The sequence below is a fragment of the Homo sapiens genome, chromosome 13 (assembly GCF_000001405.40).
Source record: "Homo sapiens chromosome 13, GRCh38.p14 Primary Assembly".
In the NCBI taxonomy this organism is placed as follows: Eukaryota; Metazoa; Chordata; class Mammalia; order Primates; family Hominidae; genus Homo; species Homo sapiens.
Genome location: NC_000013.11, coordinates 60,113,891 through 60,135,211, shown reverse-complemented (window position 1 = coordinate 60,135,211; position 21,321 = coordinate 60,113,891). Strand labels below are relative to the sequence as shown.

Genomic DNA, 21,321 nt, shown 5'->3' with positions numbered 1-21,321 from the left:
TTTTTACATAAGAGTGGCTGTTCTTTTTCCTGAACGTTGTGAGCCCAACTGAAATTTTAAAAAGATGGTCTAATTTTAGACCTTTGACAGTATATAAGTGTTTCTCTTGAATGTTTACAACTGGATTTTGCATCATGTAACTTACATTTCCTATTTTCCTGTCTAGTTTTATTTTCCTTTTACTTTCTGTATCTTTTATGTAGTTTTTAGATCATAAATCTTGCCTGGACCCTAGTCGTCTTTATTTTAAAATTATTTATCTATTTTTATTGTCTTTTACTCTTACTTTTTAAAATATCACTTTTATGGCATTTTCCTGAGGCAATTCAAGCTGGTTTTGGGAATATTTTATTTGTTTAAGTAGATGTTTTTCTCTTTATTGTGGCATACCATCCTAAATAGGATTTCAGCTTTATAGTTTATTTCTTTGGCTTTACTTTTTAAGCATTAGGCCACTTGGCATGCCATTGTGCCAGAAGTTCATTACCTGCCACTTTTTTTTTTCTTTTTCACAGGAACTTGAAATGAACCCTTTTGAGAGTGAAATGAGATGTGATTGGAGTGATACCTCTGATTGTGGAATAACAAGAGTGAAATGTGGTTAACCAAATGCAATAGGCTGGAAGCCTCTACTGGCAGGAAGGCACACATACAACAGGCTGTTAGAGGAAGGGCGCCTCACACAGGCATTGCCCCAGCTCCTTTCTCTGCAAACTCAAGAGCCCTCTACGTTTGGGTTTAATTTTAGTAATGGTCTCTGGGGTGACACTGTGGCCCTAAGTTCCTTACATACTTTACATCCCGCTCAGGATCCCAACCACTTTTAAGGACCACCGTGCGTACTTGTTAATTTCAAAGGCTGAAGATAGTATTGATAAAAAAGCAAATTCTATAGCCTGGTATTAGATACTAACCCTTAGTTAATCCACTATTATTACTTCCTTATTCCCAAGTCAAAGTAGGTGATTCTAATTCAACAAGGCAGTTTAATCTGGAGCCTAGTGGTGTGGCTAATGGTCTTTCATTTGGCTACATTTTCTTTGGTATACACAAAATTCATTTTAGATACAAGTTACCTTCTTTCCTTTGCACTAGAAGAAGGAACATCTTGGTGAAAGAAAGGGAGAAGAGAATCTGGGATGGTGATTTACATTGTACAGATTTTTAATCTGGATCATCACTGAGGTAGATTCATGAGCATGAAGGTGTACTTGAGTATACAAACATGAATGATAAATTTCATTCTATTAAGTAAATGTTGAATTTAACTGTGTACCACTTAGTCTGTTAGATAATGGTTATTAACATCTGTCCTTATAAAAGAGTAGACCTTGTTTCCTATTTAGAAAATGTGTTTGACCCTTTCCCTGCCCCTTTAAAAATTGAATGCTCCAGTGAATAAGAGAAAGGAGAATTGGTAATTGATTCCAGTTACTTGAATACAATATCTTTCCCGACACTGGGACTTATAAAACTTAGATTTCTGTGTTTTTTCTCTAAATAATTATTTTTTTCTTTTGAATTGTATTTTGCAGGAAACTATTCACTCTCTAGAATGGTCTTATGTTTGTCTAGCAAGGAAATCAGCAAAAGGGTCCTTGAAGCTAGCAATGAAATTGAAAAGTGTCTACTGTCACCACTCATGATAAATCAAACTGATGTTAAAGATGCAAATAGTCATTTTAGTACATTCTTCTCTGTTACTAGAATTGTTTAAGTTAATTAAGCCAGCAAAGTACTTCATTATCTATTATGCTGCATACTAATGGTAAATTTAAAGTTTCACTGTTCTATAATATGAAAAATTTTCTGAAAAATCATCACATTAAAATCTTTTATATCCAGTGTTCTTTTTCATTTTATTTTTTCTATGTGCCCTCATTCTCAGACAGATACATTGTGTTCTAAGTTAATATACTTAATGGTAATTAATACTGTTAATTGGGATAATATATTTATTGTACCATAGTTAATTTTTTAGTTTGTGAGTTTTACAAAGTAAAAAAATTTTAGTAAGTGTTTGGAACTATCACACGCAGGGTAACTTTTGTCCATCTTTTTGAGAAAGAGATTAAAACGATTATATATAATGTGTTTTTATTGGACTGTCAGAAATTTAATTATATTCAAGTTAGGATTGTAGAATTTTGAATGTACCCTATTAACTAAAATAAAGAAGCTGTTATAAATTACTAATATGATTGCTTTTTTTTAATTTGCAGCATTTAAATATTAGGACACTGACGGATGATATGGTAAGATTATCCTCAACTTTTCCTTTGTTATGAATTGTAACTAACCATATAACGTTGATGGTGTGCTCTGCTAACATCTTTGAAATGGCTAAAAGTCACATATATTGGAAACGTACTATTCTTATAGTGCTGAAATAAGAGGCAGAACTGGTAAAATACACTAAATTGTTGGTTTTAAGTTGTAAAGTGAATGGTGGATATGTTAATTAAAAAAATTTGTTTAATTACAAATTGTTAGTCAACTTTGAATCATTCAAATCAACTCTCATTCTTTAGGAATGAGTTGCACACTTCAAAAAAGAAGTAAAAATAGCAAAGACATGTCAGCTTTTCAGAAATATGTAGTTGCTAATTAAAGTAAGTCAGACTAAAATATTATGCATATATATTTTTAAAATTTTGCTTAAAAATGAGAGAACCGGGTATGCCTTACTACGTTTTTTATGTTGAAAATAATAGGGCTTCTCATAGTAACACTTTATAGCACCATTGTAGATTCTTGCATAGTCAAGTAAGTTTTTCTGAGAAATATATTTTTAAATGTAACTTGTGGTTAATAGTAAAGGAATAACAAGAAGAACAACAACAAAACACAAACAATGACACCAAAAATATGTAAGTGTGTTATAGAGGAAAAAGCATGGCCCCCCATTGACCAGGCTTTGCATTAAACTTCACCATATATGAAGCATGAAGGAGAATGCCTAGACCATAGTAAGCACTTAGAAAATAGTACTTCTAATATCCAAAGTACTGTCTTATGCACCTGGGTAAGGCAGAATACAAAGACGAATGAAACGTAGATCTTGACATGAATGACTTAAAAATTGTATTAGAATGTTGGTATGTTTTATTCCTTTGAATAGTACCTAAGAAAAGCATATTTACATATAATTTTCTGGATGACATTTTCATATACTAACATATAGAAATTGGTAACAATACAGATTTCTCACCTTGCAAGGTAGATGTCTTTATTTTACAGTTGACAATATTGAGGCTCAGACAGATTAAGTAGCTTGCTCAAGTGTGCCCAGCTGGCAAGTGATACAGTTATAGCTTGAATTTTGTTCCACATTGCTTTAAGTCTCATATACTTAGTGTGCTAACTTAACCCAGCTTGCAAATGGCTTCTTAAGGCTGATAAACCATCTGCAATTTTTATGTTTGAAGTTTTATGATATACAATGATATATTTGTAACAGCTTTGATCTGTTCAGAAGAATTGTACAACCATTACTACAGTCATTTTTAGAACATTTTCGTCAACCTTAAAAGAAACGTCATGTTCATAAATAATCCCTCTCTGTTTTCCCTCAACTCCCTCAGTTCTAGGCAACCACCAATCTACTTTCTGACTGTATAGATTTGCCTGTTCTGGACATTTCATATAAATTGACTCATATCGTATGTGGTCTTTCGTGATTCACTTATTTCGCTTACCATAATGTGTTCAAGGTTCATCCACATTGTTGCATGTATCAGTACTTCATTTGTTTTTTTTTTTTTTTTTTTTTTTTTGAGACAGGGTCTCGCTCTGTTGTCCAGGCTGAAGTGCAGTGACATGATCATGACTCACTGCAGTCTTGACCTCCTGGGCTCAGGCAATCCTCCCACATCAGCCTCCTGAGTAGCGGGGATTACAGGCATGCACCACCTCACCTAGCTAATTTTGAAGTTTTTAATTTTTTGGAGAGACAAGATCTCCCTATGTTGCCCAGGCTGGGTTTAAACTCCTGGGCTCAAGTGATCCTTCTGCCGTGGCCTCCAAAAGTTTTGGGATTGTAGATGTGGGCCACTGCACCAGCCTCATTCACTTTTATTGCTGGATAGTATTCTGTATGATGACATTTTTGAGGTTTATTCATATTTTATGGACATTGCATTTTTTTCTCTTTCAAACACTGCCCTTATTTTCATTATATGACAGTCCTTGCACACTGCCAACCCACGATCTTTACCTTAAGTTTTAGAAACTAGAGTCATAGGGTGGCTTCGGCATGCCATTCCAGAAGCCATGTTGCTCTATCTTATATTAATAATTGAGTTCCTCATTGAGGACTTTCTTAGTTCTTTCTCTGACCTTCCCCCATTCCTCACCTCTCCCTTTATCCTTGCAACTGGCCTTGGTAAGGTAAAAACTTTTGAGTTGTTACCATAATGCCTAGTGCATATCTTCAACAATACATCATTTATTATCTGCCTTTCTCAATGGTTTAAACCTTTTGAAGGCAGGGACGATGTGTAATGAATACTTCCAGTACCTAGCATGCTTTCTGGCACATAGTGAGTATTTTAATAAATTTTTTTGTTGAACAAGTGAAAGAGTCACTGTTCTGATAACCTGCCTGGTATTGGATCTCAGCCTGGCTTGGCGCTAGTCAGGCTTCCCAGAGACAGAGTCTTGCCTTTTTTGCACAAGGTAAGGGAGCTGTAATGAGGACCTTCTGTCAGTCTTTCTGACCGCTTGCCTGGATTGCCTTGCCCCTGCTTTCTTCTTAATTGTACACGTCTGTCTCTCCTGGATTCCTCATTGACCCTCTTCACATGGACTTGCTGACTGAACTACTGTCTCCTCACTCTCACTGTTCTCTTCTGATCTTGTGCTTTAGCTTGTCTCTTGGGTAGGCCCAGAATTTAGTCCAGGGAAGGATCAGGCAGGTAGCCTAGTTTAGGCATCTGTATCTGTTGCTGTAGAGATTTGAGAATAAGCATGGCTATCTTCAACAGGAGACACCAAAGAGTAAATTCTTTCTTATTCATTGTTGACTGATACAGTGTAGAAAGAGCATTGTTGGATTTGGAATCAGAAGATTCTTGGTGAAAGACAGAATTTTACCTCTTATTAGCTCTGTTACCTTGGCAAATCAATTATTTGATTGTTCACTTATTTAAATTGGGACTAATTATACAGTTTCTTCCTTTCTCATAGTTTTGGTGAGTTTCTTAAGTTTAAGTATGTTGACCTGCTGCATTCAGTTCTGTCCGTTTTTACCCCTTTAAAAAATATTTCTTGATGTACAGACAGAGAAGTGGTGTGACACATTTGCAGCTGAGCCTTCCAGGGTATATGTTATAGATCAATGCAGAGTTGTGAGAAGGGAAAGGGTAGCTGGATATTTTGAGGGCTCTTTAAACTATTTCTGGTGTGTTAGAGCTCAGGGCAGCATTTGCCAATGATGCTTTGATATGTACTGGCAATATGTTTTCTGATTGAAGTTTGCCCCCTTACAACATACACATTGCATGTATGCTTTCAACGTAGAAATTCTTAATGTGAATAGCCTTTTTTTTGGTCAGAACTTGAGAGAGGCATATAAGAATAGCAATGTGCTGTAGTCATACATTTGAATAACAGTATTTTAGAAACATTAAAACATCACGGGAAGCATTAATGTTAAAAACCTATCCCTTTAAGTTGTTTTGTTAAAGGTCTGCAAAAGTACTTCATGTTTTAAGGTTATTTCTTGAGTTACTATCAGAATTGAATTTCACTGTCTTGTTAAAGGAATAAAGGATTGCTATATTGTTGGGTTCCCTAGGCAGAGTTAATAGACTATAAGCAGTGTTTGTTCTATAAATATGAGCATTCTCTTTGTATAAAGTGCAGCTTAGGTGCTAGGGTAATAAATAAAGGTGAATAAATGTTTAGCTTATAACTTCCATTGCTTATACCTGGGTTTTGAAGAAGGTTTTCCTCATAGAGGCAAAAAGGTTGGGAGGAGGGGGGAGTGAGGGGAGACAGGTTTGAAAAGGTAAGTTGGAAGACATTGAATGTGGATGTGACAATGCTAAATTATCCATCAGTGTGTCCACTGAGTGTTTTTGGAGTATAGGAGTTGTTTTTGACTTGCTGTTTTCTCTCCTGTCCTTCATAACCATTTGTCTACAGTATAGTACTTCTATGATCCTCATCTCTTTGTTCATCTGACTGCAGCCTGCTTTACTGTTTGGCCTGCAGCAATGGTTTTCAAATCTTTTTGACTAGATACTGCATTAAGAAATATATTTTATTTTGTAGCCTGGCATGCATAAACTCCTAAACTCTCTGCTTCTCAGTTGAAACAAAAGTTTAAAAACCAGTATTTAACATTTCTAAGCAAAATGAATTCTGATCTTTTTATTTCCATTCCTTTCTAATTTTCTTCACTCCTCTCCATTCCTTAAAAAAAAAAAAAAGGTAATTGAATCCACTAAATTGATTTCATGACCCACAAATGGTTAACAGCTATAGCTAGAAAACCAAACATTGGCCTGCACAGAAACTAGAGGAAGTCATGAGGTCTTTGCATTAGTGTCTATTCTTTATTATATGTAGTTGCATGTAGGAAAGCCAGGTTAGAATGCCACCTCTGCCATTTACTAGCTGTGTGACTTTGTGTTAGTTATGTAGCTTTTGAGCCTTGGTATAGAGATAGTTTAAGGGACAAATTAAGTAAGATGCTTGGTAAACCGTGCATTTATAATTTAGTGCTATGTTTAGTAATACACACTTTCAAAAAATGAGGTATGATCCAGCAATCTCATTGCTGGGTATATACCCAAAGGAATATAAAATTTTCTACCATAAAGACACATGTACACGTATGGTCATTGCAGCACTATTTACAATAGCAAAGACATGGAATCAATCTAAATGCCCATCAATGGCAGATTGGATAAAGAAAGTATGGTACTAATACACCATGCAATACTATGCAGCCATAAAAAAGAACAAGATCATGTCCTTTGCAGGAACATGGATGGAGCTGGAGGCCATTATCCTTAGCAAACTAACACAGGAACAGAAAACCAAATACTGCATGTTCTCACTTGTAAGTGGGAGCTAAATGATGAGAACACATGGACACAAAGAGGGGAAAAACAGACACTGGGGCATACTTGAGGGTGATGGGTGGGAGGAGGGAGAATATCAGAAAAAATATCTATTAAGTACTAGTACTAGGACCAGTACCTGGCTGAAATAATCTGTACAACAAACCTATGTGACATGAGTTTATCTATATAACAAACCTGCACATGTACCTCTGAACCTAAAAGTTAAAAAAAAAGTTGAGGTATGATTTACTTACAATATAATTTACGTGCATTATATTGTACCAGTATTGAGTATAATCTGATGAATTTTGAGAAATATATACAATAATGAGTGCACTAGTCGTGATATGAAATATTTCCATCACCCCAAAAGGTTCCCTCTGTACCCGCTTACAGTCAATTCTCTTCTCCCATCCTGGCTTTTGACAAACACTTATCAGCATTCTGAACTATAGTTCAGTTTTTAGAATTTCATATAAATGGAGTCACAAAGTGTGTTGCCTTTGTGTCTGGCTCATTGTTTGGTAATACTACAATTGGTTTAACTTCAGCAGTTTGGGTTGTTTCCAGTTTTCGGCTATTATTAGTACAGTTGCTATGAGCATTTGAGTACAGCATTGTTTTTTTTTGTGTATATGTTTTTGTTTTTTGTGGGAGTCATATAGTAAGTGTGTCTTTAACTTGATAAGAAACTGACAAATTGTTTCCCACAATTACTAATGTTGAACTTTTTTTTATGTGCTTATTTAACATTTTCTTGTTTAAATGTCTGTTACTAGATATAGGACTATTCAAGTAATCTATTTTTTCCTAAGTGAGCCTTGGTAGTTTATGTCTTTCAAGGACATACATTTTACCTATATTGTTAAATCTAAATTTTTACCTATATTTTAAATTTTATCTATGTTGTTGAATTTATGGGTATAAAGTTGTTTGTGATATTTTCTTATCCCTTTAATGCAGGATCTGTATTAATTACCCCCTTTGCAATCCTCATATTGATAATTTGTGTTTTCTGTGTTTTTCTCTGTGACTAGTCTGGCTAGAGGTTTGCCAGTTTTATTGATCTTTTGAAAAACTAGCTTTTGTTTTCACTAATTTTCTTTATAGTTCTTTTGTTTTTGTTTGTTTTACCTTTATTATTTACTTTCTTTTGTTTTATTATTTTTTTCTCTGATTTCTTAAGGTAGAACTCTAAGTCATTGATTTAATACCTTTGTTTGCTAACATGTTAGATTTTTTATGCTATAAATTTTCCTCTGACATCTGCTTTAGCTGCATCCCACAAAATTTTATTGAATTGAATATTTTTAAATTTCTTATTTTCTTTGACCCATGGGTTATTTTGGTATATGTTATTTAACTTCCAAATATTTAGGGGTTTTCCTGATATTTGACTGTGTCTGATTTGTAATTTAGTTCCCTCGTGGTCAGAGACCTGTAGTTTGCATGAATTCTGTCCTTTCTGATTTTTTAAGTCTTACTTTATGTCCCAGAACATGGTCTATCTTGGTCAGTATTCGTGTATATTCTGAATGGTTGGTAGTGCTGTTCACATCTTCTGTATTCTTGTTAATTTTCTGTGTGTTCTAACAATTATTGAGAGAAGTATCGAAGTCTCCCACTGTGATTTTAGATTTTATTTTTCCCGTTCGATTGGTTTTTGCTTCACGTATTTTGAAGCTTTGCAGTAAAGTGCATATATAAGATTGTTGTGACTTCTTTATCTTTAATAAATGACGTTTTAAAATCACAAATAATTTTTATTAGTTTTTAGTTCTTGGAAATTTATTGGATTTACCTACTCTACTTGATATAATCATATGCTGCTTCTTTGGAGAACAAAGATTTCTTGACTTCTGTGACATCAAATTTTCTCAATTTCATACCCCTTTGACTTTTCATTATCTATCTGGTTGCATAATTTTTCCTTTTTGCCTTAAATTATTGTTTTTTCTCAGTTGTTTTTCCTGATTCTACTATTCTTTCCCTCGGTATGTAGTGTTTTACTTGGGTAATCACCTCTGAAGTTTTCAACTAACCATGTATATCTCTGTTTAGGACCTTTTCCTCCAATTGAGAAATAATTCATTGGCCTACTGAATAACCTCAATGGATGTCTCATCTATTCTAGAAGCTCTGTGTGCTCTAAGTTAAACCCTTTACTTTCCTCATAAACTTGTTTTATTCCTTATATTCTCTTAGAAAGTAGCTTCACCTTTCCAATGTTTCTTTCTGATTATTTCTTGAATCTCTTCTTCTCTCGTTTCTTCTATCAGTCCTAGTCTTCTCATTTTTTCTTCTCTGGACTCTGGCAGCTTCCTATTGCTACCCAAAATGCCACCTTCCCACACAGCTATCAGAGTGATCTATCTACATTGCCTATCTGATAATGTTTTATGCTGTTTGAAACTGCTTAATTGCAACTGTTTTATATAGGTCAAGTCTAACATGGCAGATAAGGCCTTCATGACAGGACCCTGCCTCTCTAACTTGATAATGCATCTCTCATTAGCGTGCAGAAACCTTCTAGGGAATACAAAGATATAAGATGCTGGAGAATTTACTTAGGGAGTATAAAAACATAATTAGGGGGCTGAGTGTAGTGGCTCATGTCTGTAATCACGGCACTTTGTTTGGGAGGCTGAAGTGGGAGGACTGCATGAGCCCAGAACTTCGAGATTAGCCTGGGCAAGATAGGGAGACCCTGTCTCTACCAAAAAAAAAAAAAAAAAAAAAAAAAATTAGCTGGGTGTGATGGTATGCAGATGTGAACCTGTAGTCCTAGTCCTAGCTACTTGGGAGACTGAGGCAGGAGAATCACTTGAACCCTGGAGTTTGAGGCTACAGTGAGCCATGATTGTGCCACTGTACTGCAGTCTGAGTGACAGAGGGAAACCTTGTCTTAAAAAAACAAAACAAAACAACATAACTAGGGAATTGTGGTTGCTAATTAGAAGAGCGGTGTGTTAAGTAACAGTAAGGACTATGTAATTGTTAGCTATGTGCTAAAGAGTGTTCCAAATGTTTACTATATAAACACATTTAATTGTAACACCAAACCTCTGAGTAAGCACTGTTACTGTTCCCATCTTTAAAGATGGGGAAACTGGGGGAAGAGAGAGCTTAAGTAACTTATTCAGAGTCATAGAGGGCAGCCAGGAAAACTCTGGCAGATTGGCTCCAAGTAACATGATCTTTATCAAAAGCATTATAATGCCATTTAAGTACTATCCTTTTCTCCGCTGAGAGCACCAAATGTAAAATCTAGAAGTATATCTCATTCTTTCCCCTTTTTTTTTTTGAGACAGGGTCTCGCTTTGTCACCCAGGGCAGTGGTGCAAACACAGCTCACTGTAGCCCCAACCTCCTGGGCTCCAGCTCAGACCCCCAAGTAGCTGGGACTACAGACATACACCACCTTGCTTGGCTAATTTTTGTATTTTTTTGTAGCGATGGGGTTTCTCCATGTTACCAAGACCGTATCTTAATATTGTCCGCTTTTCCCTTGATGCCATCGATATGAGACTTCTAATTGGAAAAGAGAAATTGTATCATAGCCATTGACCTTAATCCGGAGAAAATCATTATAATTATAAAGACATACTATATCTAAGATGTTTTCTAAGATGAGAAATGAACTATTTTGAATATCTCAAGTAAACAAAACTGAAAAAAATCCACCCCAAAAAATAGTGAGGTGTTGGACTGAGAGGTCATCTGTTAAAGGATATGAGATTCTTTTAATTACAAAGGACATGGAAAAATTTCTCTGTATAGAAAGCACTTCACATATCTCAGAACAACTGCTGCCTGCGCCCAGATATAGATACAGGCTTTCCTTGTTCTCCTCAAAGTTCCCGGGGTAATGGGGTCATAGAGCCACTGCAGAAATCACCTGCTGTGGATGTAGGTTCTAGTGAGTGAGTGGAAGCTTTCACCTCACTCTTCTCTCACCTCCTAACTGTTCTCTGGGCCTTCTTCCTCGGTATAACTGTTACCAGACAACTCTAGTACATTCCGATGTGATTTCTGTGAGACTTCACTCAAAGATGAATGCGGCCTAATAGGACTGAGCTTTGTTTACCTGTACCTACCTAGATGTGATGTGTCTTGTGGGATATATGCTAAATTATACATCATATTTATGAAAGAAAGGAAAATGACTTTAATTACCTGAATTTGTGCCTAACTTTAAAGTCAAGTAATAGAACATAAGTCAGTAGCTTTTAAAAATAAAGGCTCAACCTAGAATTATTTAAGATAGTTTTATCTTATTATTCTAGTAGGATATAAGGCTCTCTGTACTATAATTTACTTTCTATTTTCATTAACTTTTTATATTTTCCTTGGTAAGTTAATAACAATGAGTGATAAAAAGTGTGATGTACCATCTGCCCAACCACAGTTTTTCAGTAAAACTATATATTCATATTATACTCTTCTGTGTAAAGTAGAAATACCAGCATGGATTGGGGCGACTGAATGTAAAATACATCCAAACAAGTTCTGTTTTAAATAACTTAAACTGTTCATTTAGTCAGGTGGGCCTTTCTTAGCCCATTAATGAGTTAATTAGGACTTCCTGTACTTAAATTTTCAGTAGTAATACTTAAGTACTATCTTAGAATCTTTAAATATTTATAGGATAGTTTAGAGAGCTCCTCCTCAAATCAGCACAAACTTGGGAATAAGATCAAGAGCTCTCAGAGTTGAATATACTAATATGTAGTAGGGTGTACAGACTTGTATATTCATTGTTTTGTCCACTCATTCATTAATAATTTGTTGAGTGCCTAGTACTCTTTTAGAAATACAAATATGGAAAAAGAAGGTCTCTGTCGTCTGGGTGCAGTAGAGAAATGGATGTATAGACAATCAGTAGTTTTAGTGTGATATGATAGGGGCTGGAAGGTCACTTGATCTTAGAAGACTTCATGTGAAGGTGACTTTTCAGCTGAGTTTTGAAGGACAGGTTGGAATCTGGGCTGGCAGGAGTTGGTGTAATTTTTACTCCTTATTAATTTTACTTCTGGCATACCAATGAAATGGATTCGTAGTGGAAGCATGTCAGGTTGGCAAGTAGAAAGCGATTATTGATGTCTTCACATGACTTTTTGTTTATGGGTAATATAGGTCTATGCTTTTTAAAATAAAATGTAATATATACAGGGCTAATTTATATTACTTCTCAAGTATATATTATTAATATTTAAATATATGCAATTAGAATTGTACTTTGAGTAGATGGGTAGATAGAACTTTGGGGTTTCTTGAATGTTAAATTTTTTTTCAATGATATGTGTGCTCCTTTTTGAATGGATATTTTTCTTATTACCTTATATCATGATATTAAATAACATAAGTTATCCTTGTTTTTAGTGTAGGGGCCTACTCTAAATTATCAGTGTTAGGAAGAGTCTGGGTTTTCCTATTGAATATATAAAAGGCATAACACCTGGCATTCTCCCTTCATATGCTGTGTTAATTATTTTTTATTTAAAATATTGTTGAGAAAAATTTAGCATGGCAAGAAGCAATGGCTAGGGTGTTCCAGGCCTGGAAGATAGGAAGCTAATTATTAATTTATTCACTTAACAAATATTAATATAACATCCACTACATGTTTAGAACTGTGGTAAGTTCAGAGGGGGTTTAGTGAATAAAATAACAGTATCTGTTCTCAAGGACTTAAAGCCTAGTTCACAGGCATTTAAAGAATTGTATACATATTATATGATGCAAGCACTAAGTCTTTGAGCATCTAACTCAGTCTTGAGGAATCAAAATGGGCTCTTACATGAGCTGTAGTTTAAGTTGGGAGCTGAAGATTGAGTTGAAATTAGCCAGGTAAGGGGATGGGGTATGAGGTGTGGGTAGGTTTTAGGCACAAGGAACAACCTGTACATGTTTAGGAGATTCTAGGTTGTTCATTATCTCTAGATCATACAGTGTAAGGTGGTGGAGTGGTGAAAAGATTGTCTAGAGAGGAAATATGTTCAGATCAAGATGAACCTTTGAGCCAAGAATGTCATCCTTTGAGTAATGAGGGGCTATTGAAAGAGTTTAACCACAGGAGTGAGGGGCATGACTGGATTTGCATTTTCAGGTGGTTGAATGATGTTGGGGTAGAGAATTGCTATAGCATGGTAGGGGGAGAGGGCAGTGAAGAGATGGAGGCAGGTTAGAAGGCTAGGAGGCAGGTTAGAAGTGGCCTGAGCTAGCGACAGTAGAGACAGAGAGAAGATGAATAAAGGAGGTGTAGTCCACATGCTTTGGTTTATGTCTTTATTAATTTTCATTACAGTTATCACAATTCAAATCACCTTTCGGCAGAGCTGAGTCATAATCAATTCATATCATCAGTAATCACCCCTTTGCTTCTCTCACTATTCAGGTCCATTCATTCTTCTAATCTGATATCTATCAAGTCCTCCAGGCTTCCCAAACCCTCCTACTTTGCCCTTTGGAACTCGAAGTCTGTCGTCTTCTTTGAATGTTCTCTTTCCTCCTTGCTGTAGTTGAAACCTGGATGTTCTTTGATGGCTTTATTTTCCTGGTGGCTTCTTACTTCAAAAGCTTCCAGCTCTCTTTGAAGCATAAACCATCAGAGTATACAACCTGTTGGTTCCTCCTTGTTGGTGGTCTCAACTGTAGGTCTTCTAGTCCCTCCCACTGATTCACTGAAGGCATTGGAACTTGAGTTACTTTCTCCTTTTCCACCACAATTTCTGCTATCGTTCTGTACCCACCTACCAGGTGTTCTTAGCTTGTGGTCCATGGACCACCAAGGGGTCTTGGTGGAATTCGTGGTGTCCTTGAAGAAAAAATTAAATCTTTATTTTCTTTAATCTGTAAATGAAATTTAGTATTTCTTTCAGTTATGCATATAGGAAAAAAAAAACCTATCAGCATGCCAGAAAAACCCACAGTAGTATTTGGCCTGCGACTTTATCACCAACAGAAATCAGATATTTTCAAAGCACAGTAGTTACTGAAGACATTTCAAAATATGGTTTACATTTGACAATATGTTGAAATTAGACTTGTCATTACCTTTGTTATTTAATGCAATAGTGAAGAACATTTATTGATATATTAAAATTTAATAATTTTATAACCTCATTTTACTTTAGTTCGTATATATTTTAGGCATTTAAAAGTATTCTATGAGGAGCTCTGTAATTATCTATTGCTATATAACATTTCTCAAAACTTGGTGGCTTCAAACAATAATAAACACTTGATATTTCAGTTTCTTGCATCAAAAATTTGGAAACAGCTTACAGTATGGTTCTGTTTTGAGGTCTTTCATGAGATTATAATCATCTGCAGCCTTGATGGGGCTGGAGTATCTATTTCCAAAGTGGCTCACTCATGACTGGCAAGTGGGTGCTAATTGGTGCGGGGAGGCCTCGGTTCTTCCCTGTGCAGGCATCTCCAAACACTGCTCCATGGCATGACAGCTGGCTTTAGAACACGTATTGCATGTTGTAACTTATTTTCAAGCAATTGAAGAAATTTTAAGAGCATAAATTTGTTTTTCATTTAATAATATTAAAATACTATGTGAAACCTAAATGTGGACAAAATATTATAAGTAGATAATCAAGTATTTTTTGGTAGGGAGGGAACAGTAAGTTTTCGTCTTTTCAAAGAAGCCTCTGGCTAAAGAACTTCTTATAAATTCCAGTAAAATACAAATTAAGAGGTGAAGAAGCCCATTTGTAACATTGAGGAATATCGAAGTCAGAATGCAGTTGATCGGATGGTAGGAATTGTTCCTGGGTGGTTAAGTCTATGGCCTAAAACTGGCCTCAGCTTATCATACCTGAAAGATTGAATGGTTGGTTTTTCTCTCCACAGTGATACATCTTTGTAAAACCAGTGATGTCACTAGTGCTTAAATGTAAAGACCATGGAACAGGCAGACATACTGCTTAGCAGTTAACATGTTCTATAATTTTCATATCAGCATCACAAGTTCCCTGTTGTACTTACATTCCAAAGCCCCTCTCAAGGTACTTTTCCCCACTCTAGAATTAATCATTCATTCCTGTTGCTAGTTCACTTGGCTTATTTTCTTGGGGGCATTTACAATATTCTACCTTAAATTATGATCCTTTATTGTATATTTTTCTCTCAAATGGTAAGCATCTGTAGGGATGGTAACTATGTTTTATATATTTTATCATCTAGTAATTGCTCATTCATTCATACCTTCAACAAGTATTACTTGACTGACTGCTAACTATCAGGTACTGTGCTATAGGCTGCATACACAACATGACTATAATCGTTATCTGTTGGTATATAACGAGTTGCCCCAAAACTTAGTGACTTAAAATAGCAAAGATTTATCATTTCTTTTTTTTTTTTTTTTTTTTTTTTTGAGACGGAGTCTCGCTCTGTCGCCCAGGCTGGAGTGCAGTGGCGGGATCTCGGCTCACTGCAAGCTCCGCCTCCCGGGTTCACGCCATTCTCCTACCTCAGCCTCCCAAGTAGCTGGGACTACAGGCGCCCGCCACTACGCCCGGCTAATTTTTTGTATTTTTAGTAGAGACGGGGTTTCACCGTTTTAGCCGGGATGGTCTCGATCTCCTGACCTCGTGATCCACCCGCCTCGGCCTCCCAAAGTGCTGGGATTACAGGCGTGAGCCACCGCGCCCGGCCAAGATTTATCATTTCATACCACTTCTGTGTGTCAGGAATTTGGTAGTTGCTTAGCTGGGTGGTTCTGGGTTGGGTTCTGCCTTGAGTTTGCGGTAAAAATGTTGGCTGGAGCTACAGTCATGTGAAGGCTTGACCAGGACTTTCAAGATGGCTCACTCACATGGCTGTTGGCAAGAAACCTGTTTATCTTTTAGTGGAAGCCCTCAATTCTTTGTCATGTTCTTTGCCTCCCCTTAGGAGTTCTTGAGTGTTCTCATGATCTGGCAGCTGGCATACTCCCAAGAAGGAGCAAAACAAAAGCTGTAAAATCTTTTATGATCTAGTCTTGAAAATTGCACTTCATAATTTCCAAAATATCTGTTGGTTACATAAATCAGGATCACTGGGGCCATCTTAGAGACGGGCTGCCACAGTGATTAAAACAGTTGATGGTTTGTCTAGCATGGCACTTACATTTTAGTTGGAAAGAGACAGAGTTAACAATTACAAAATAAATGAGATAATTACAGATTTTCGTAAGTCATGTGAAAGGACATAGGAAGAGACTGTACTGTGTGCTGTGACGGATAAGGGGTGGGTACACGTGCTACTTTAGATAAAGTGGTCAGGGAAGGCATTTCAGCCTTTTAAATCCAAAGATGAGAGTGAATAGTACTTTTATTTCCTGTTAACACTTCTCTGTGATGGGTACCATCATGGAAGGTTTAAGTAGCTTAGTTGTGGTAACACACTAAGCAAGTGGCTGGACAGGATTGTGAAGTCAAGACTCCAGAGCCTTGCTTGTTTTTAATCACAAAGTTCCCAGATTAGTAATAAAGTTAACTAAAGAGCCAAGCTATGTTAGCTGTTAGGTTTTTACCCCCTCTTAAGCGTCGTGTAAGATTGCCTGAAAATAGAGAATTTCAAGCAGTAGATTTTATTCTGTATTTCAGGTATGTATTTGGATAGAATTGATTCTATAATGAGAAGGAATTTTTGTTTGCTTAATAATTCTCCTGGATTTCGTGAAAATTTCTACTCCCTTCTGGGTTCTAATGAAGTATGTTTATGATCATATGTAGTTTTTCATACTTGTGAAATTGTAAGATGACTAATTATATTTTCCTTTCATTTTAAATTAAAGAATCACTTGCCTTTTGGTGTTTAAAATGTTGTAATACTGAAAACCTTAAACACTGAGTTTTCACTTTTACAGTGATATACTATAGCTAAAAATTCAGATAGTTTTTTTTGAACCTTTTTTTGTTTAATTAATTTTATTTAAACTGTCATTACTGATTATTAGTGTAATTACTCAGTATGAGATAATACTCAGTAGGGTGCTCATTTAGCTTCCCCTGAAGATACGTGATATTAATTTATAAAACTTAGTGTACCCCAGACACAGTCAAAGCCATATTAATGAAGTGTGGTGTACCATCTCCAAATGGCATTATAACAGAATCTTCTCAGTCTTGCATATGTTTAACTAATTCTTCAACAAAGGCAAATTGTTTGTATACTTCACCTCTCTGGGTTGTGTTTCTTGCTCAACTTTAAGAGGAGAATTTCATATAAAATTATGGAAATTTTACATGAAATAGAAAGTGCACAAATTGTAATACACACACATAAACAACCCCCAGCCAAATTGCCAAATACAAGATAACCAACTTATGGTCAATATTAGGGGGATTCCTGTCATATTTTTATGTAAAAAGTATTTTTAAAGTTTGCTCAAGTGTTCTATTGTACCTTGGTTTAAGCAAATCGTGTGTGCAATTTCATCAAAGATAGATTAGGAGTGATTTTTCCATGTGTGAATGGAATCATAGTAACCTCTCTTTTAAAAAATGAAACTTCTTTTATAACATGTAAAATGATTTGATAGTAAAGCTCACTTTGTGCCTAGCTTTGTTATAGTGCCCAGATTTTGTAGAATCTACCTGGAGTGCTCAATAGGGCACGGAATGCTTTTACTTTTAGCCTCAGGTATTCATTAGATTCGAGTTGCTATTCCAGTATAGGAGGAAGGATTGTGCTTATTTTTCTTTTATGGTTCTTTCCTTATTTTTTTCTTTTATTCTTTCTTATCTGGGAAAAGAAATAAAAGCATTATATTGAAAATATGAAATACTGATTGATCCTTTTGTATCTCATATTACTATTTTGACCATTGTGGATTTATAAGCTAGAAGAGGGGAATGCTAATTTTTCCTATCTTGCCTTCATCCGTCTATACTAGTGGTAATGTACAAATTTATTTTTCCATTTGGGTAAAATTTATCTTTTCCCCAGAGTTTTAGGTGCTAAGCATATGGGGTAGGTGTGATAATTATATTTTATTATTAACGTTATTACTTTTACAAATTATGTTATTGATACAAGTACAGTTTTACTAGTTTTACTCCTGAAAGCATTAATGGCTGATTTTTTTCCTTTGTCCTATTTTTGAGCTCAATACTATGAAATCGTTAGGTACAAAAGTGTTTTGGAGCTTGTTCTTTTATTTTTTAGACATACAGTTTCCTCACTTTAAGGATTAAACCAACGTATTCAACCTGATGCTGCATTTCAAGCTCTTAGCCTGGTGCTTGACATATAGAAAAGGCTCAGTAAATATTAGTAAAAATATTGTTAATTTTTATGACTTTAGAGATTCTTTTTAAAAAAAGTTTTGGTTTTTGGTGAAAATTAAGATTTTATGTCTTCTATTACTGTTAGAACCATTAGGTTATGCATTTACAAATTAGCTTGTGAAGTGCTTAAGCTTATTATTCCCATTTATTGACATGTTTACATTTATAATATTGATGTTGCATTAATGAAGTTTTGCTTAATTTCACTTCATTATAAGTTTGGCATATTAATTAAGTTACACTGGGTTTTTTTTTTGGATGTGTGTGTATGTAAAGAACCAGAATAGTTTCTGTGCTTAGGAATTGATATTATCCGTACAGAAATGATGGCAATGAAGTAGTGACTTGGGAGATAGGTAACCAGTCCCATTTCCTAAAACAGTTTTTTTGGTTTCTCTCAGTTTTTGTTTTTGTTTTAAACAAACATCAGTAATGAGGGTACAAATGTACATAGGGATAGTAACTTCTGGACATATATTCATGTGGAGACAGTTTTATGTTTCTGAGTTATTCCAGAGTAGGAAACGCTTATGGTGGTGAGTTATATGCCACTCTTTTTTGCTATTATAATACATTTCACATACCTCCTACATTTTCTGTGTAGCTATATAATTACCTATGTGCTTGTCTCTTCCACTTGATAATTATTTAAGGTAAGTCTTATAGCTCATTTATCTTTGTATCACCAACATCTAATAGACAACTGTTGATTGCTCTTCATTTCTTTTTGTAGATCTAGGATTTCATCCCAGAACAAGTTAAGAAAAAGTTATATATGTATCACTTCCCTACAGCCTGAAAAAATTCTTTTATACTTTTTGTAGTACAGGTCTGCTGGAGACAGATTATCTCAGTTTTTGTCTGAAAGTGTGTTTCTTTTGCTTCTACTTATGAAGGGTAGTTTCACTGTATATAGAATCCCAGGATAACAGTACAGCTGATCCTGGAACAACATTGATTTGAACTGCCCAGATCCCCTTACACACAGGTTTTTTTCAAAGAAATATATTGGAGATTTTTGTAGATTTGCAATAATTTGAAAAAACTTGCAGACAAACTGGTTAGAAATCTCGAAAAAAGAAAAAGTTATATATATCTTGAATATATTTAAATAATAGTCTGTTTTCTCACTTAATACCATAAAACATTTACAAATCTATTATAAAAAAAGTTAAAATTAATCAAAATTTATTGACTTTAGTTCATACAAACATGAACTAAAGATGGTGCCGTTTGCAGTCAAGAGAAATGTGAACAAATGTAAAGATGCAGTATTAAACTATAACTTTATAAAATTAACTGTACCGCACACTATATTACTCTATTAATGTTGTAGTCACCTCTGGTTGCTATTCCGGTGAGCTCAGGTGTGTTGAGTATCTACTTAAAATGTCACCTGACACTAATCATCTCCACTTGAGCAGTTAATCTCTCCAGTAAATTGCGTATTTCAGTAAAAACTGATCTCTTGCAGTTCTTGAGTATTTTTCATCGTGTTTAGTGCAATACCGTAAACCCTGAGTAACACCATGGGACCCATACAAAGTGCCACTAGTGATGCTTGAAGTGATCCCAAGAATCAGAGAAAACTCATGACATTACAAGAAAAAGGTGAATTGCTTGATACGTGAATTGTATAGATTGAGGTCTGTAGCTGTGTTGGTCACCATTTCAGCAGACAATTCATCTTGTTATATGATGTAAACTTACAGTATTGATAAATATAGTACAGTATTGTAAATGTATTTTTTCTTTCTTATGATTTTAATAAGATTTTCTTTTCTCTAACTTATTGTAAGAATACAGTAAATACATTTAACATACAGCAATGTATTAATTGACTGTTTATGTTATTGGTAAGGTTTCCCATTAACAGGAGGCTATAAGTAGTTAAGTTTCTGGGGAGTCAAAATTTATATGTGGACTTTGACTGCCCTAATCCCTGTGTTGTTCAAGAGTCAACCCTACCTTTCTTTCAGCACTTTAAAGATGCCATTCCATTGTCTTTTGCCACCATTGTTTCTGGTGAGAAATTAGCTGTCATATCATTTTTTTCTCGTGTATATAATGTATTTTTATTTCTCTGGCTGTAGTTTTATGGTTTGCTGTTTATTTTTAACTTTCAGCAGTTTGACCATGAAGTGCTTAGGGGTAGGTAGGTGTGTGTGTGTGTTTGTGTGTGTGTGTGTGTGTGTGTGTGTGTGTCTTTTGTATTCTTTTTGGGTTTTGCTGAGCTTCTTGGATCTGTGAATTGAGTTATATATATGTAATCAATTTTGGAAAATTCTTAGTCATTATCTTCTGAAATATTTCTTCTGTACCATTTCCACTCTCTCTTCTGCTTCTGGACCCCAGTTACACTTGTGTTACAACATTTGATGTGTATCACAGATCATACTCAATTTTTTTTCTATCTCATTATTTTGTTTGTGTTTGAGTTTGGAACTTTCTATTGATCTGGGTTTAGGTTCACTGATTCTTCCTCAGCTATGTCCAGGTTACTGTTAAGCTCATCTAAGAAAATCTTCATTTCCGATCTATTCTTTATTTCTAATTCATCCGTGTTTTTTTTTTTCTTAATCTGTGACTTTGCTGCTGAAATTATTCATCTCATGTGTAATGTCCACTCTTCATTATATCGTTTCAGGAAAAAAAAAATGCCCATTTTAGGGTTAATGTAGAGTTCTCTTTCTGTTTTCAGTTCTACTTCTGGCTGTTTCTTCAGGAAATCTCTTTGACCAGGTACCCTGCCCCAGCCTTTAGATGGCATTATGACATGCTCTTTCAAAGTCCAGAATGTGTCATGGGGATTTCTCTCCAGTCTTTTGCCTAGTCTATGGCCTTTGGAGGGCAGTTGTTTGCATATGCCTCACGGAGTATTCATACAGCTTTCCTGTTCTGCTCCGAGCCATTGGCTTACTACCGCATTCAGTTGGTGAAGACTAGGGAAAGAGTTG

At 35.3% G+C, this 21,321-nt stretch overlaps 1 protein-coding gene across 16 annotated transcripts in view; it reads left to right on the top strand.

Annotated features, from left to right (window-relative positions):
• DIAPH3 (diaphanous related formin 3) overlaps window positions 1-21,321 on the top strand; it is a 498,346-nt gene that overhangs the window by 28,717 nt on the left and 448,308 nt on the right. For 12 of the 16 annotated variants that reach the window (XR_002957478.1, XR_002957480.1, XR_941672.1 and 9 more), the window contains exon 2: window positions 2,223-2,255. The exons of the other annotated variants lie outside the window; for them this stretch is intronic. Coding sequence is in view for 7 of the 12 variants with exons in the window: in NM_001042517.2 (NP_001035982.1) it covers window positions 2,223-2,255 (33 nt within the window). In the remaining 5 variants the exon portion in view is untranslated. The remainder of the gene's footprint in view (window positions 1-2,222; window positions 2,256-21,321) is intronic. 16 annotated transcript variants of the gene reach the window in all.